General features: G+C 35.5%; 1 protein-coding gene across 11 annotated transcripts in view, besides 1 other annotated feature; it reads left to right on the forward strand.

The window, feature by feature from the left end:
• Positions 1–15,906, forward strand: part of EFR3A (EFR3 homolog A) — a 109,550-nt gene that overhangs the window by 45,822 nt on the left and 47,822 nt on the right. For all 11 annotated transcript variants that reach the window (NR_136615.2, NR_136616.2, NM_001323555.2 and 8 more), the window contains exons 5-8: positions 55–176; positions 3,904–4,053; positions 5,854–5,991; positions 9,671–9,749. Coding sequence is in view for 9 of the 11 variants with exons in the window: in NM_001323555.2 (NP_001310484.1) it covers positions 55–176; positions 3,904–4,053; positions 5,854–5,991; positions 9,671–9,749 (489 nt within the window). In the remaining 2 variants the exon portion in view is untranslated. The remainder of the gene's footprint in view (positions 1–54; positions 177–3,903; positions 4,054–5,853; positions 5,992–9,670; positions 9,750–15,906) is intronic.
• Positions 2,567–3,245: an enhancer, noted in NCBI's record as "NANOG-H3K27ac hESC enhancer chr8:132964728-132965406 (GRCh37/hg19 assembly coordinates)". NCBI's record gives its function as "activates a minimal SCP1, AML or CMV promoter by ChIP-STARR-seq in primed H9 embryonic stem cells {active_cell/tissue: H9 hESC(primed)}" and the evidence as "EXISTENCE:reporter gene assay evidence [ECO:0000049][PMID:30033119]".

A 15,906-nucleotide genomic window follows, 5' to 3' on the forward strand; every position in this document is an offset into this window, starting at 1 on the left:
TTGGTTCACACTTCTGAAGAAGGTGAAGTATATTATATTATTTGTGTTTTTTAGTTTGTCAAATTTGCAAATATTGAAGAAGACACACCATCCTATCACAGACGTTATGACTTTTTTGTGTCTCGATTCAGTGCCATGTGCCATTCCTGTCATAGTGATCCAGAAATACGAACAGAGTATGTATTATTTTACTTTATGATCTATAGTAAGTAATTTAGAGATTAATATTGTGTTCATATGTTACATAATGATTACCAGAGGAAACAATAATATGCCTGAAATACGGCTTTCCATTGCTGTTAGAAGCTATAATTGCTGACTGAAGTAGCAAAATGAGAATGGTTTTCCAGCTCACTAAAATGCGGTCTTTACTGTAGCCTAGAATGTCTCTTCATGCCCTGCTTACTCTGTCAGATCCTGTCCTTCTATCATTTCTTCCTACCTTCACTCTAATCCTGCCATGTGGATCTCCTTGCCATTTCTTGAATACTTTAGTCACACCTCTCCTCAGGCCCTTTGGACACATTGGTCTTTGTGCACAGAACAATTCCCTGGATGCCCACATGGCTCGTTACCTAACTTTGTTCAGATTTCTGCTCAAATGACACCTTATCACAAGAACCCTCCCCAGCCACCCTTTATTAAATGTCACCTCTCTCATTCTACCCCTAGCTATCTTTATCTTCTTATCATGTATCTCCTTGTTTCTTGCTCCTCTATGGAATATAAATTCCAGGAGCGTGAGGACTTTGGTTTGAGGACTGCAGTATCGCGAATACTTTGAATAGTGCCTGGTACATAGTAGGCTCTCAGTTAGTACTTTTTGAGTGAATAAGTAGATAAATTGAATGAATGTATATTACTGAATCACTATCCATCTGAGGTTGTCATGACAACTGTCTTGGACATTTTTAAACATTTCTTCTGGATATATCCTACTAAAAATCTGGAATCAAATATTTTATAAACTCAACTATAGGTTGATAGAATGAGACATACAGAAATGAGAAACTTTAAAGTTAAGAAAGTCAAAATGACTTTAGGAAATATAGAAAGTAATTGGAGCATTACTATCTACACCTAAAAAACAAGAAATCAACCCGGATTTAGAGTTACTGTGGGCAGTTGATAAGATATAGCATGCTTTATAACTTTTACTTTTATTTTAAGATAATTAAAGGAATGTACAGAAATATAACTAGGTTTTAGTTAAAGTATGCAAGCTACAGTGCTGGTTTACATGAAACAAAAACAAGTATAAATGTTATTTTAACTTGGAGAAAGAAAGCTTAAAGGTGATTAAATAGTTATTTTCAGGTATAAGATTTGTTTTTGTCTGTGATGCTGCTGGTATGATTTTTGCTCAGTAGAGTATAGGCCATTTAGAGTCCTGCTATTATTCCTTTATTATGAAGTGTAAAGCCTTCTCAGAGGTAAAAAATACTATAATTACCTTACAATAATTAGTTTTCTATTTGTCTCCATCACCAGGAAAATTAATTTTTCTCTCTCTAAAGGATATCTTAAATGTTTATGAGACTATTCTCTGTCTTCAGAGGCTGATAATAAGTTTTTAATGGGGCAAAAAGATACAAAGATTAGCTAAAGAAAATGGCAATTTTTTCAAGATTTTAACGTTTTTGCTTTCTTTCAAAATATAGAAAATATCTGGAATGTAGTACGTTTTTCTAAGTATTTATCATCCCCTAGTGAAATATCTTGTCTTTTGAATATATTTTTACCTGTTCTTCATTACTGCTTCCAAAAAGAAACTTTGACATTTTCTGTAAACCAATGAAAGGACTTATAGTACAATTTGCTAACTCTAGGTCTTTCCAATATTATATCATATTTGAAGTTCCATAATGCCAACATTTTATTTGAATTCCTGTAAAACAAATGAGTAAATTAAAATGCTATTTAATATAAAATACTTAGTTTGATTATTTCTGCTTTAACTTAAATAAAAGCCCTTTTGATTCTCTTTAAGTATATTTATATTCTATTTTAAGTTCTAACTTAGAGAAATCATCAGTCCCTTTATTTTTTTACCAAGCTGTTACCAAATAGAACTCCAGGGGACATGGACAGTAGGAGATGGGGCTGGTAAATGTTAGGATTTTCTTATTTTCCTTGAAGAACTGGCTCCCACTTGTAGAGTCATGCATCACAATCTTTAACTCTAATTTTCTGAAGAAACTTCAGCTGTGGTAGAAATTACCACCACCACCACCACCACCACCATCATTGTCATCATCCTCGTCGTGGTTAGCAACAAACAGGAACAGCTAACACTGAGTGCTTTCTGTGTGCCAGTTATTGTTTAACCACTTTACATGAATTAACTCATTTAAATTGTTCAACATTTCTATGCTGTAGATGTGACAGTTGTTCTATTTTACTGATGGGAAACTGTAGAATTCGTTTTGGGGGGTCATGGCTAGAATGTACTGATTAGTCTAGATGTTAGATCTGAATTGGATGAAGCTGTGTAGCTATAGTAGCTATTGGTAGTTACCACCAACACTGCCCTTTAACCTTGAGCAAGGGCACCGCTATCTGCTGCTGCACCATTTAGGCTGCTGTCTCACAAGGCATGATAAAAGTTTCATCTTGTTTGTTAATGTGCTCCATGCCACCTTGTGCTTGGCCTTCTCATCACCCAAGGTGTAGCAGCAGGTATGTAAAGCAGGCACCTTGTGTAGGAATGTTAGGCTTGCCCACTGTGATAGCTGCACGAGAATCTCTCAAGACTCTTTATGTTTTAAAAAGCAGCATGTATAGACACGGCTTTGAAATAGGCAAAATTTGCCTTTGTGTCTTCCAATTCATTTTTCTCACCTGTTCAGTATCATATTACTGCCACCTCCCATTGTCCATCTGCTACTCCTGAATGCCTGCATTATTTTGCCATGGAGATGTAAAGCAATGTCACCTCCCTCCCCATATCTTCTATTCTTTAAACCTATTTACAGTTTTTAGAAGACAATGCTAGGTAAACTGAATAAACAACTAATTGGTGAGTATTTTAGATAGCAGAAAGAAAGGAAGTAAATAGCCATCATATTTGACCAGAAGGAAAATGTTTTGAGACTCATTGGGCCACCAAGTTAGCTCTGCTTGAGACTTTGTTCTTTTGCAGTTTTTAGAAACTGTTTTCTAGTCACTTTTCTTCTCATTCTTGAACCTATAGATTTTTATTTTCTTTTGCTTTTTTAAAGAAGTGTAAGGAAGAGCTTGAGGAGGTTTGGTGCTCTGATCTGGGATGGGAGGATAAGGCAGCATTCTCTCACTATTATATTGATACATTTTAAGTCACATTATCAGATTATTATATGATAATGTATATGTGTTTATAGACATATTTGTATATATATTGCTGAGGTTATCTCTGCTCCATTTCGATAGTTCTTATTTGTAATACCTTTTAAAAGAACCAGCTTAGTCTTCTATCTAGGTAGTCAAAGGGAGTTGAAGGGCTGTTAGGGAGGAACAGTGAGAGAAGTCTGAAGAAGCATGAAGGGTGTTCAGAACAGTGAAATCCTGTTTTCACTCAGCTCTTAAGACTTCTAGGTAAGAAATGGAGTATCATTATCATTTTAAGAAAACCTATGCTGTTGATTTTTTAAAATTGAAAAATAGATATTTCTGTATTTTATAGTCCTTTTAACGTTTTAAATGCGGATTTTAAGAACATGATATTTGAAGTAAGCCTTTTTGCAGCACATCTCCATGTCTCTTAAATTTTTGAGATTTACTTTCTTAGACTTGTGTGTTATTTTAAGATATTTTATTGATAAGATAACAGTATTTACTTGATATCCATTCTCTTAGCTACGCAAACAGTCTTGTTTAAATAATTTTTTTATGGCTCATTTTCTTCCTTTTTTTTTTTTTTTATAGGATACGAATTGCTGGAATTAGAGGTATTCAAGGTGTGGTTCGCAAAACAGTCAACGATGAACTTCGGGCCACCATTTGGGAACCTCAGCATATGGATAAGATTGTTCCATCCCTCCTGTTTAACATGCAAAAGATAGAAGAAGTTGACAGGTATTTAAAAAAATATTAGTGTTGAGACAGTGTTACTTTTATATATATGTATGTGTGTTTCCTAGGATAAGAATGTTTTGTCTTTAGTACTCTGTAAACAGTAGTCTCGTAAAGTTAAGTGAGTTTAAAAATATGTACCTTTCTGAAAAAATTTTTACTCTGTAGTGATCACATTAGGCTTAGCAGACTACAGATTATTATTCATACACTTAAGCCTTTATTTTCTTTTAGAATAAGTTTACAGTTTATTTGCCACCAACTATTGAATATCCAAATTGCTGTTTTAATGGATACTACTTAAAGTTGCAAATGTGAGAAACAGAAATTATAGCTCTACTTTTGTTAATATAAAAGATCCAGCATACTTTTGCACAGGGAGTTAGAACTAACCAAAATAATAATGATAATGATAATAATAGCTACCCACACTGTATTTTATTTTTTCAACAAATGGTTAGATACTGTTCATATTTGATTTGTCCTAAGATGTTTTGGAACTGAATATTGTTTTAGGATATAGGCTTATTTTTTCTTTTTCCTCTACAACATTCACTTGCAGTTAGAATTCTGTACTTTATTCCACTTTTTCAAATACTAGAAGCATGCTTATCCCCCACATTTCTGTTGCCATACACAGAGATAATAAGTTAATAATAAATAAATAGTGAAATATTTATTATAAATAATATTTTAAATATTTAATATAAATAATAAATTAATATTTCAGAAGCAGTATTCTCCAATGGCTTATTATCCTGACTTTCCTGATTCTTGCAGTTTGAAGAGGAAAATTGGAATCAAATTTAAAAGTGATTCAATTCTATAGTTCTAAATTTAAATTTTATTTATGATTTTAGTGATTATATGTGTAATAGCAGCATAAAAGTAGTCTAGAAATGAGATGTAATTGATAACTCTATGGTAACACACGTTCATGTTAACTTACACTAATTACAGAAAGGATTCATGCTTAATTCCTTAGATGTGACTGTCTCCAGCTTTGGGAACCTTTCCTAAAATGTGAAACTTGATGTATTTTAGCACTATCTGTATTTTTCCTGTTCTTGGCACTGTAGCTGAGGTGAAAGTTTCCTTATCTAAAATATTTACTATTTAAAGGATCACTAGCTAGTTGGGAACCCATTTTCCATAATTACGGCTCTTGAGGTCCAGGATTAGCATAAGTAATATACCAGAAACAAAGCTCATTGGTTATCAGTTCTTAAGAAATTACATTTTTTCATGATATAATCCCCGTGCCACATATACATTTTTAGAATTATTATTCATAAATTCATTAGCCTAAAATAATGTTTCAGGATATGAACAGAATATTGTCTGCTGAAGACAGCTACGTATACAGATATTCTAGTTAGCTTTTAAATTTTATTTTTTATTTACAGGCTAGGTCATAGTTTTTCACTTTATTTTTGCCCATTTACAGTTAAATTAAGGATACCTAAAGATGGTCTCTGGGCCCTGTGTTCTTACTAAGATTTTGCTATAAATATAGAAAAGTTGAATGAAAGTGAAAGCAAGCTGCTGAGTATTTTAGTTATACATAAAAGACATTCTGTTAGCTAGAAACAATTTGCACAGCCAAGTTTATTTCTTCAATTTGAAAGAGTGTATGATTCATTTTGGTGGTGTTAAATTCATGAAATTAGAATTAAGCTATATATTTTCTGGAGTATAAAAAGAAAATGCCATTTTAACATTTCTAAAAAGTAAAGTATATTTTGTTTATTAGAACTGATATTAAAATTCTTGTGTTTTTCTTTATTTCTCGTTCCTTTTTAGTCGCATAGGCCCTCCTTCTTCTCCTTCTGCAACTGACAAAGAAGAGAATCCTGCTGTGCTGGCTGAAAACTGTTTCAGAGAACTGCTGGGTCGAGCAACTTTTGGGAATATGAATAATGCTGTTAGACCAGTTTTTGCGTAAGTAGTTGGTGTTTTCCTGGTTATTTGTGATTTTGCTGTATTAATTCTGTGTTAACTTATTTATAGAGGACAACTACTTTTTTACTTGCATGAGTGAGTTATTAATGGAACCAGTGTAACATTGTGAAAGTAGTACAGGACTGAGTCATGCATGATGTGTTTGACCAGTGGTTCAATTACTTAATTAGCTTTTTCCCTTTAAGTATGAAGTGTAATAATGTGTTAATATCATGTGCATTAACTTGAATATCTGCTTACAGACCTTGAAATGCCTATGTGCAGTGAAATATTTAAACAAACAGTGTCTAAGCATGATGTATCTTGTTCTACTAACTTTCATGGTCAGTTTTTCCTGGTCCCTGGCTTCTATTTATTGGCTCTCTTTTTGCCATGGCTGGGCTGCCTTAGATCGCATTCACATCTCTGAGTGAATTCATCTTTTACATAGTGATTAATCAGAGCAAGAATATTAAATATCTTGTTGGTACTTTCATGCTCTCCTCCAGGCAAAATATGTTAATGAGCTTTGAGTTTCTCCACATAGATATGGTCTCTCAAGCCTTGTCAAGCCTTTGTGTTTCTGACTCAATCACCAGATGATAGATCTACTATATAATATTCTGTGTAATTTCTGGACATTTTTGCTAGTCTTTCTTTTGTTAAAATTCACCTTGTCCTTTTCTCCTTCTGACTGTAATAGTGGCTTTATAGAATATGTATGATATTCTAAATGTAACATCCAGAATTCTTTATTTAGGACAGATGGATGTTCTTAGCCTAGAGTTCAAAGTTGAGCCTTAGTTACAAGAATCTATAAATCACAAAATTATATTAAAAATTAGAGAATCATTAGATTTTCAAAGGGATCTGTGTTTCCTCCCACCTCCAAAATATTGAGATCTATTGTTTAAAGGCTCCCTAAGCTTATGGAAATGCTACTAAAAATTAATCAGAATTACACCAAATATACTAAAGGCAAATTTATTTTTTTAATATCTAGATGTGCTGACTTAACGTCAGAATTCCATTTTTTATCTTAATACTCTTAGAACTAATCTATAAGGCCTTAAAAATCTAGAGAGCTAGCTTGGAAGAAAGAATTTACCAAATAAGTTGTACTTGAGTTGAATAACTTGAACTCAGTTATATTCTTTTCTACATAGAACTTAAAATTTCTGATCATGTATTAGTTAATTAATTAAATTAATCTTAAGTAAATATGTGATTACACATTAACCATTTAGTTAATTAAATATTAAATGCCCTCTGCAAGTGAGGTGCCAGATATTTGGGGAATATATGCATGAATAACAAATTTGATGGGTGATTGACATGCATAATATTTATAAAATAATATATGGATTATGAGAAAAGAACAAAAAGTGCTCTAGCAGATCAAAACAAATAATTCATGTCTAATTTGAAGATTTAGGGCCAGGGTCTTTTTTTTTTTTTTTTTTGAGACAGAGTTTGCTGTTGTTGCCCAGGCTGGAGTGCAATGGCATGATCTTGGCTCACCACAACCTCTGCCTCCTGGGTTCCAGTGATTCTCCTGCCTCAGCCTCCCGAGTAGCTTGGATTATAGGCATGCGCCACCATGCCTGGCCAATTTTGTATTTTTAGTAGAGATGAGATTTCGCCATGTTGTTCAGGCTGGTCTCGAGCTCCCAACCTCAGGTGATCTGCCTGCCTTGGCATCCCATAGTGCTGGGATTACAGGCATGAGCCACAGCACCCTGCCAGGGCCAGTATCTTTTAATGTAGATGAAGGTAGTTATCAAAAACTGCTCTGGAAATTGTATTTTATTTGTAAAGAATGCTTTTGTTTGACATTGAAGTAGGTTTTTAATTTCAATTATTATTTGATCGAGTAAAGAAAATAATAGATGATTTAAAAGAAATTTTGAATATCATATTTTTAATCAACAGTGAGCACAAGACACTGATATTGTTGGCTGGAGTGTTGAATATAGTTTAGGGGTTACGGTGAGATAAGAGGGAAAATGTTTAGGCTATACTGTAGAGATCTTAAAATTTTATATTTAAGTTTATAGATAATTAGTGGAGACCTTAGCTCAAAAGTATAAAGTGGCTATAATTTCCCTTTGAGAAAGTTAATCAGATAGAGCTATATAGGACACATTTGAGCCAGGGCCAGTATGTTAGCAGGTTACTGTAATAAAATTCTTGACAAGTGCATATGCGAACTATAAGTAATTGGTAGCATGCTTGAAGCGGTAAATAAAGTTTATTTTTCTGCCTCTTAGGAGATAAATATTGTATTGGACGATATTTAACTTGACTATTGGGTAAGAATCCATAAGATCATGATAATGCAGGTCATATTAGCATTAAAGATTTATTTTATATCTTCTGAGAGTGAAGATGGAAGAATTTGCCTCAATTATAAGGCAAACTACCCAATTTATCAGATTCAGGTTAACTGTGCATTTGTTTTCTGCATTTTGTTCTGTAAATTCTCTGAATGTGTTTCTATCACTGCTTCTGTCCACTTTATTTTAATTAGTGGGTTTCATTTCTGCCTTCTACTCTTCATTCAGGCTTCTTTAGAACAGGTAGCCATGTTCAAATTCTTCTTCGAATGTATAGAGCCTAGAGCATAGTATGTAACACGTAGTAGACCTTAATAACTACGATGATTCAAGAGGGATTTCAGGTCTTTTTTTTTTTTGTACCATTTCCATTTTTAATGACCCAAAAAGTAATTATTACTTTCAAGGAAATGAAAGTTATAAGAAGCAGCACAGATGTTAATATAGGTCATATCAGGATGTGCTGTTTATTAGTTGTATGAACTTGAAAAACTCATTCAACCTCTCTGAGCTCCAATTTTTTCACCTTTGAAGAGTTTTGAATGCATGCATTAAATGGTTTATTTATATATTAAAATAGAAGCTACCACTTATCAAGTGCTGGCTGCGCCCTGTGACTATGCTAATAACCTTATATACTTTATCTTACTTAATCCTTTTACCCTATGAAATGGATGTTATTATCCCCATTTTCCAGGTCAGAGAACTGACCCTTAGAGAAGTCAAGTAACTCACTCATGGACAAGGACATATAGGTAGAAAATGAAGTCAGAATTCAAATTCTGATCATTTTATTCCTGAACCCATGGTCTAGATTAACCATTAAGGTTGATAATATATGCCTAGCATAAAGTATATTTTCAACAAATGATAGTTACAATAAAGCTGGTTTCGATATGGAAGGACAATTTTTAAAATTTAATTTTGATACAGTAGGTGAGAAGTAGATCTGGCAATCTGTGAATATAATCTAAGGCTGTTCCCCTGTTGTTTTCCAGCCTTGTATTTGTCCTTCATTCACCCTCTTTCATTCAGATTTACTTGTTAGTTAAAATTACCCTTTGAGAGAAGTAAATTAATAAATCACAACATTAAAAAAATGGAATCAATAAATATTTGTTGATTAAATGTTCACGAAACTACTTCTGGTCCACAGCATTGCTTTAGAAATAGCTTTAATTGCAACATATATTTCATGAAGTTCATTACTTAAGAATTAAATTGAAATCTTGCTTTTCTTTTAGGTAATATTCTCACTATTAAGCTTTTCCTATTGTTGAGGTTTCTAGAGGAAGAAAGTATAGTAAAATAGAGAATTTTAAAGTAATTTTTGTTATTTGCAGGCATTTAGATCATCACAAACTGTGGGATCCCAATGAATTTGCAGTTCACTGCTTTAAAATTATAATGTATTCCATTCAGGTAAGGTTTGATTAACTATTTACTGTATTTATATAAGTAATTTTGGTTCTCTATGGATAAGCACATTATCAAACAGATGTGGGAAGCTGTAGGATATAAATCATTGCTCTTAATTTAGCTCTTTTGTCTCATTCATTTTCATTTGCTACTTATTTTCTTATTTGCCAAGATAAAAAGATAGATCTAATAAAAATAACTAAATCATTCTATCACGGTTCCCCTCAGAGCCAAGGCCAACACAGACAAGCTTCTTGACAGTCTCCTGCTATCCCCTGATTCATTGAGGGTGTTGTCTTTTAGGGGTTCCGAATTATCACAGGGATTTCTAATCTCATAGCCTTCCTTTCCTGGATGGGCCCTAAGCTTTGTATCTAGTCTCCTATGTATACAACCATTTAAATGAGTAGCTTTGGGCACTGGAAAGCTGAAGATTTGCCTGGGACTGCTGCTGGCTTCAGTGTGCACTTGCCTTTCCAGATGCTTACCTTCTTGTGGAGTTTAGACTAAGGGACTTTCCTTTCTTGTCATTTTATGTGGATATCAGAAAGTCTTACATATAGCTGATCCTTGAATAACATGAGTTTCAACTGTGCAGGTCCACTTATAGTATAGATTTTTTTTTTCCAACAAAATGCAGATCCTAAATCTATTATTTGTCGGATTCAAAACCCCACGTATATGGGGGCTGATTTTTTTCCTCACAGGGCCAACTGCAGGACTTGAATATGTGCAGATTTTGGTATGGGGTGGGGCTGGAACCTATCCCCAAGTATATCAAGGGATAGCTATAGTCTAGTATTTTACTATTGTTTTATGACAGGGTTTGGCAATTTGGGAAAACATGTATAATATTTCTGGAAATGGTAGTATATACTAGAATAAGAATTTCTGTGTATTATCATTGTACAATTAAAACTTTGGATAGCTTTGAGTGTTTTAGTTACCATTTACCATAAAATTGGTGCAGGTATCATTCTTAGGTAATATTTCACCCTCTCTCCATAAAACAAACAAACTGGTCTTGACCAGGATTTATATCCTTAAGGGTTTACATAGTTTCAAATATAGTAAGGCATTTCTGGTAAAGGGAAAGTATTTTACTTAAAGCCTATCTTTTGTGCTAAATTTATTTCTTGAGGGTAATAAGATGTGATTAAGAGTTGTACTCTGGGATCAGACAGAGTTCACTATTAGGCTCTTCCTTAAGAGTTTCTGCAGGCAGCAACATTTGCTGTTCACCTGTATTCACTGTTCTGCAGCCTCCGCTGCTGATACCCAGGCAAACAGGGTCTGGAGTGGACCTCTGGCGAACTCCCAACAGACCTGCAGCTGAGGGTCCTGACTGTTAGAAGGAAAGCTAACAAACAGAAAGGACATCCACACCAAAACCCCATCTTTACGTCACCATCATAAAAGACCAAAGGTAGATAAAACCACAAAGATGGGGAAAAACAGAGCAGAAAAACTGAAAATTCTAAAAATCAGAGCGCCTCTCCTCCTCCAAAGGAATGCAGCTCCTCACCAGCAATGGAACAAAGCTGGATGGAGAATGACTTTGACAAGTTGAGAGAAGAAGGCTTCAGACGATCAAACTTCTCCGAGCTAAAGGGGGAAGTTCGAACCCATGGCAAAGAAGTTAAAAACCTTGAAAAAAGATTAGACAAATGGCTAACTAGAATAACCAATGCAGAGAAGTCCTTAAAGGACCTGATGGAGCTGAAAACCATGGCACGAGAACTACTTGACGAATGCACAAGCTTCAGTAGCCGATTCGATCAACTGGAAGAAAGGTTATCAGTGATGGAAGATCAAATGAATGAAATGAAGCGAGAAGAGAAGTTTAGAGAAAAAAGAATAAAAAGAAACACACAAAGCCTCCAAGAAATATGGGACTACGTGAAAAGACCAAATCTACGTCTGATTGGTGTACCTGAAAGTGACGGGGAGAATGGAACCAAGTTGGAAAACACTGCAGGATATTATCCAGGAGAACTTCCCCAATCTAGCAAGGCAGGCCAGCATTCAGATTCAGGAAATACAGAGAATGCCACAAAGATACTCCTCGAGAAGAGCAACTCCAAGACACATAATTGTCAGATTCACCAAAGTTGAAATGAAGGAAAAAATATTAAGGGCAGCCAGAGAGAAAGGTCGGGTTACCCACAAAGGGAAGCCCATCAGAGTAACAGCGGATCTCTTGGCAGAAACTCTACAAGCCAGAAGAGAGTGGGGGCCAATATTCAACATTCTTAAAGAAAAGAATTTTCAACCCAGAATTTCATATCCAGCCAAACTAAGCTTCATAAGTGAAGGAGAAATAAAATACTCTACAGACAAGCAAATGCTGAGAGATTTTGTCACCACCAGGCCTGCCTTACAAGAGCTCCTGAAGGAAGCACTAAACATGGAAAGGAACAACCGGTACCAGCCACTGCAAAAACATGCCAAATTGTAAAGACCATCGAGGCTAGGAAGAAACTGCATCAACTAACGAGCAAAATCACCAGCTAACATCATAATGACAGGATCAAATTCACACATAACAATATTAACCTTAAATGTAAATGGGCTAAATGCTGCAATTAAAAGTCACAGACTGGCAAATTGGATTAAGAGTCAAGACCCATCAGTGTGCTGTATTCAGGAAACCCATCTCACGTGCAGAGACACACATAGGCTCAAAATAAAGGGATGGAGGAAGATCTACCAAGCAAATGGAAAACAAAAAACGGCAGGTGTTGCAATCCTAGTCTCTGATAAAACAGACTTTAAACCAACAAAGATCAAAAGAAACAAAGAAGGCTATTACATAATGGTAAAGGGATCAATTCAACAAGAAGAGCTGACTCTCCTAAATATATATGCACCCAATACAGGAGCACCCAGATTCATAAAGCAAGTCGTTAGAGACTAGAAAGAGACGTAGACTCCCACACAATAGTAGTGGGAGACTTTAACACCCCACTGTCAACATTAGACAGATCAATGAGACAGAAAGTTAACAAGGATATACAAGGATATCCAGGAATTGAACTCAGCTCTGCACCAAGTGGACCTAATAGACATCTACAAAACTCTCCACCCCAGATCAACAGAATATACATTCTTCTCAGCACCACACCACACTTATTCCAAAATTGACCACATAGTTGGAAGTAAAGCACTCCTCAGCAAATGTAAAAGAACAGAAATTATAACAAACTGTCTCTCAGACCACAATGCAATCAAAGTAGAACTCAGGATTAAGAAACTCACTCAAAACCACTCAACTACATGGAAACTGAGCAACCTGCTCCTGAATGACTACTGGGTATATAACGAAATGAAGGCAGAAATGAAGATGTTCTTTGAAACCAATGAGAACAAAGACACAACATACCAGAATCTCTGGGACACATTTAAAGCTGTGTGTAGAGGGAAATTTATAGCACTAAATGCCCACAAGAGAAAGCAGGAAAGATCTAAAAATTGACACCCTAACATCACAATTAAAAGAACTAGAGAAGCAAGAGCAAACACATTCAAAAGCTAGCAGAAGGCAAGAAATAACTAAGATCAGAGCAGAACTGAAGGAGATAGAGACACAAAAAACCCTTCAAAAAATCAGTGAATCCAGGAGCTGGTTTTTTGAAAAGATCAACAAAATTGATAGACTGCTAGCAAGACTAATACAGAAGAAAAGAGAGAAGAATCAAATAGATGCAATAAAAAATGATAAAGGGGATATCACCACCGATCCCACAGAAATACAAACTACCATCAGAGAATACTATAAACACCTCTACACAAATAAACTAGAAAATCTAGAAGAAATAGTTAAATTCCTGGACACACACACCCTCACAAGACTAAACCAGGAATAAATTGAATCTCTGAATAGACCAATAACAGGCTCTGAAATCGAGGCAATAATTAATAGCTTACCAACCAAAAAAAGTCCAGGACCAGGTGGATTCACAGCCGATTTCTACCAGAGGTACAAGGAGGAGCTGGTACCATGCCTTTTGAAACTATTCCAATCAATAGAAAAAGAGGGAATCCTCCCTAACTCATTTTATGAGGCCAGCATCATCCTGATACCAAAGCCTGGCAGAGACACATCAAAAAAAGAGAATTTTAGACCAATATCCCTGATGAACATCGATGCAAAAATCCTCAATAAAATACTGGCAAACCAAATCCAGCAGCACATCAGAAAGCTTATCCACCATGATCAAGTGGGCTTCATCCCTGGGATGCAAGGCTGGTTCAACATACGCAAATCGATAAATGTAATCCAGCATATAAACAGAACCAAAGACAAAAACCGCATGATTATCTCAATAGATGCAGAAAAGGCCTTTGACAAAATTCAACAACGCTTCATGCTAAAAACTCTCAATAAATTAGGTATTGATGGGACGTATCTCAAGATAATAAGAGCTGTCTATGACAAACCCACAGCCAATATCATACTGAATGGGGAAAAACTGGAAGCATTCCCTTTGAAAACTGGCACAAGACAGGGATGCCCTCTCTCACCACTCGTATTCAACATAGTGTTGGAAGTTCTGGCCAGGGCAATCAGGCAGGAGAAGGAAATAAAGGGTATTCAATTAGGAAAAGAGGAAGTCAAATTGTCCCTGTTTGCAGATGACATGATTGTATATCTAAAAAACCCCATCATCTCAGCCCAAAATCTCCTTAAGCTGATAAGCAACTTCAGCAAAGTCTCAGGATACAAAATCAATGTGCAAAAATCACAAGCATTCTTATACACCAATAACAGACAAACAGAGAGCCAAATCATGAGTGAACTCCCATTCACAATTGCTTCAAAGAGAATAAAATACCTAGGAATCCAACTTACAGGGGATGTGAAGGACCTCTTCAAGGAGAACTACAAACCACTGCTCAACGAAATAAAAGACTATATAAACAAATGGAAGAACATTCCATGCTCATGGTAGAAGAATCAATATCATGAAAATGTCCATACTGCCCAAGGTAATTTATAGATTCAATGCCATCCCCATCAAGCTACCAATGACTTTCTTCATAGAATTGGAAAAAACTAAAGTTCATATGGAACCAAAAAAAGAGCCCGCATTGCCAAGTCAATGCTAAGCCAAAGAACAAAGCTGGAGTCATCACGCTACCTGACTTCAAATTGTACTACAAGGCTACGGTAACCAAAACAGCATGGTACTGGTACCAAAACAGAGATATAGACCAATGGAACAGAACAGAGCCCTCAGAAATAATGCCACATATCTACAACTCTCTGATCTTTGGCAAACCTGAGAAAAACAAGAAATGGGGAAAGGATTCCCTATTTACTAAATGGTGCTGGGAAAACTGGCTAGCCATATGTAGAAAGCTGAAACTGGATCCCTTCCTTACACCTTATACAAAAATTAATTCAAGATGGATTAAAGACTTAAATGTTAGACTTAAAACCATAAAAACCCTAGAAGAAAACCTAGGCAATACCATTCAGGACATAGGCATGGGCAAGGACTTCATGTCTAAAACACCAAAAGCAATGGCAACAAAAGCCACAATTGACAAATGGGATCTAATTAAACTAAAGAGCTTCTGCACAGCAGAAGAAACTACCATCAGAGTCAACAGGCAACCTACAGAATGGGAGAAAATTTTTGCAATCTACTCATCTGACGAAGGGCTAATATGCAGACTCCACAAAGAACTCAAAACAAGTTTGCAAGAAAAAAACAACATCAACAAGTGGGTGAAGGATATGAACAGACACTTCTCAAAAGAAGACATTTATGCAGCCAAAAGACACATGAGATAATGCTCATCATCACTGGCCATCAGATAAATGCAAATCAAAACCACAATGAGATACCATCTCACGCCAATTAGAATGGCAATCATTAAAAAGTCAGGAAACAACAGGTGCTGGAGAGGATGTAGAGAAATAGGCACACTTTTACACTGTTGGTGGGACTGTAAACTAGTTCAACCATTGTGGAAGGCAGTGTGGCAATTCCTCAGGGATCTAGAACTAGAAATACCATTTGACCCAGCCATCCCATTACTGGGTATATACCCAAAGGATTGTAAATCATGCTGCTATAAAGACACATGCACACGTATGTTTATTGCGGCACTATTCACAATAGCAAAGACTTGGAACCAACCCAGATGTCCA

This window comes from Homo sapiens, chromosome 8 (genome assembly GCF_000001405.40).
Source record: "Homo sapiens chromosome 8, GRCh38.p14 Primary Assembly".
Lineage (NCBI taxonomy): Eukaryota > Metazoa > Chordata > Mammalia > Primates > Hominidae > Homo > Homo sapiens.